Source organism: Homo sapiens, chromosome 1, assembly GCF_000001405.40.
Source record: "Homo sapiens chromosome 1, GRCh38.p14 Primary Assembly".
Classification (NCBI taxonomy): domain Eukaryota; kingdom Metazoa; phylum Chordata; class Mammalia; order Primates; family Hominidae; genus Homo; species Homo sapiens.
The window spans coordinates 187,985,259-187,987,283 of NC_000001.11; the positions used below are offsets into that span (position 1 = coordinate 187,985,259).

The window sequence follows — 2,025 nt, forward strand, 5'->3', positions numbered from 1 at the left end:
TTTAATTTTCTTGAATAAATATTTAGAAGGTTCATAAATGACGTAGATACTTATCATTATGAGAAACTGACAGGTTGGTTTTCAGATGAGTTGTTTCATTTGCAGACCCACCAGTGATGTGTGAAAATTTCGGTTGCATAAATTAACTCATTTAATCCTCCTTCAAATACTTTGAGGTCAGTATTATCATCATATTCATTGACAATGACCAAGTCAGGCTTTGAATTCATCCCGTTTGGCCTTCCAAATGGGATTCTTACCGCTATATCATCCCAGTAAGCTCATTTTTAATTCCACTCATCTGGTTGAAAGGTAGAAATTAAATATGGTTGAGAATTTAATCTCTTAGCTATCATGTGGAGCAGTCTGTTTCCTTCTGTCAGCATTTGCTCATGCACATCATCCACTCCTCTTCTACCCTGATTTCTGCTTAAACATCTGTTGGTTTGTGTTCCTCATTCTACTCATTCTAGGACAGACTGTCCAATTTCCTGGTCAAGCCAGGCCCCCCTGCTATTTTGCTTTGGACACTGCTCTGTAAGTCTCAGCCTCTGAGGGGATTCATGTAGTCTCTTCACTTGAATGAGGAAAAAAAAAATCTTTCCTTCCCATTTTCCCACCTTTCAAGAATTAGGCCACAAAGTTTGTGGTCCCCTGTTTTCAAATTCCTGGATGTCTTAGTAAAACAACTTCTTAAAGTGTTCACTTATTTGCTCTCCAGGCTTGTAGTACATGCCCCTGGATACATGAAGGAGATGAAAGAGGCTAAAGAATGATTTCAGCAGCACAAACTCTGACCTCCAGCAATCCTAGTGCATGGAACTTTTCTTCCATTTCGCTGAGTCAAATCAGGACATCCTGTCAGCTGCTCTCCCTTCTGTAAATATATTCAGAAATGCCCAAATTGGAGTCTGTTATGCTAAAGGGAAACTCAAACAAGTCATAATCTCAATATTTTACAAGTCAAAATAAGTATTTGATAATTGTGCAGACTTAAGAAATATGTTCAAATCATTTGCTTGAAATTTTCAGCTTTCCAGTTGTCTTAGCATTAAAGCCTTGCTGACATGGTGTAGAATGTCCAAGGGTTAATATTGTGGTTCAGATGCTCATTCTGGAAATAGAATATTACTATCAATATGACAGTTCTGCCTCTCAAGGGACAGGATATCACATCAGTTATAATATGTAGCTCTTTTTCAGTCACTGATCACTGGACTGAGACACTTTTAAGGCTGTCAACAGCAGCAATCTTAATCATTTACAGAAATAAAATAATACGTGTTCCTAAAAGGTAAAATACGTCATCAAGGTTCTTGATTACATTGAAAATAAGACTTTGAAGTGATTGATTTGAAGTTATTAATTAACACAACATAATGTGTTTACTCAAAGTCCTAAAAACCTAAAGGTATACATGAAGAAGGAAGAGTAGCACTTACATGCACCCAGCCTTGTTCCAAGCACCTTACATTTAGAAGCTTAATTAATTTCAGAAGCTTAATTAATAATGAGAACTCTATGAGACTCATTATTGTTTCTTTTTCACTTTTAAATGAAAAAATAAGAGACATAAAGAATCTCACCTGTGATCATACAGCCTTCAATACACAGTCTTTGCCCCCAGTGTAAAAATGACTAAGGTCTAATTCCATAGGTGTCTTTTCATTCTTGGAAATTTTAATGACACTAGATTTTCTGGGAAAATAATCACTAATTTTGACAGTATGGGTAATCACACTTTTGATTCCTTTCCCATAAACTATTAAGGAAATATGGACTTGATTATATACAGGTGCATTTGTCATTCGTGTGTGTTTTTTTCACAGAATGGAGTAGCAGGTTATTTTTTTGGGCTAACCTCCTTAACTAATTATGGTTTAACTTTATCCCAAGGAACAATTTCCAAAATTGAGAAACAATAAATAATAAATAATATGTTCATGCATATCCAGTCCTTCTGTGGCAGAAAGACTAAGGAATTCTTACTCTTTCAGTATGGAAATTAGTACACTACATAACCAC

The 2,025-nt window shown here is 35.6% G+C and overlaps 2 annotated features.

Annotated features, from left to right (window-relative positions):
• Positions 335–414: an enhancer, noted in NCBI's record as "active region_2253". NCBI's record gives its function as "activates an Ori minimal core promoter by ATAC-STARR-seq in GM12878 lymphoblastoid cells {active_cell/tissue: GM12878}" and the evidence as "EXISTENCE:reporter gene assay evidence [ECO:0000049][PMID:35858748]".
• Positions 465–554: an enhancer, noted in NCBI's record as "active region_2254". NCBI's record gives its function as "activates an Ori minimal core promoter by ATAC-STARR-seq in GM12878 lymphoblastoid cells {active_cell/tissue: GM12878}" and the evidence as "EXISTENCE:reporter gene assay evidence [ECO:0000049][PMID:35858748]".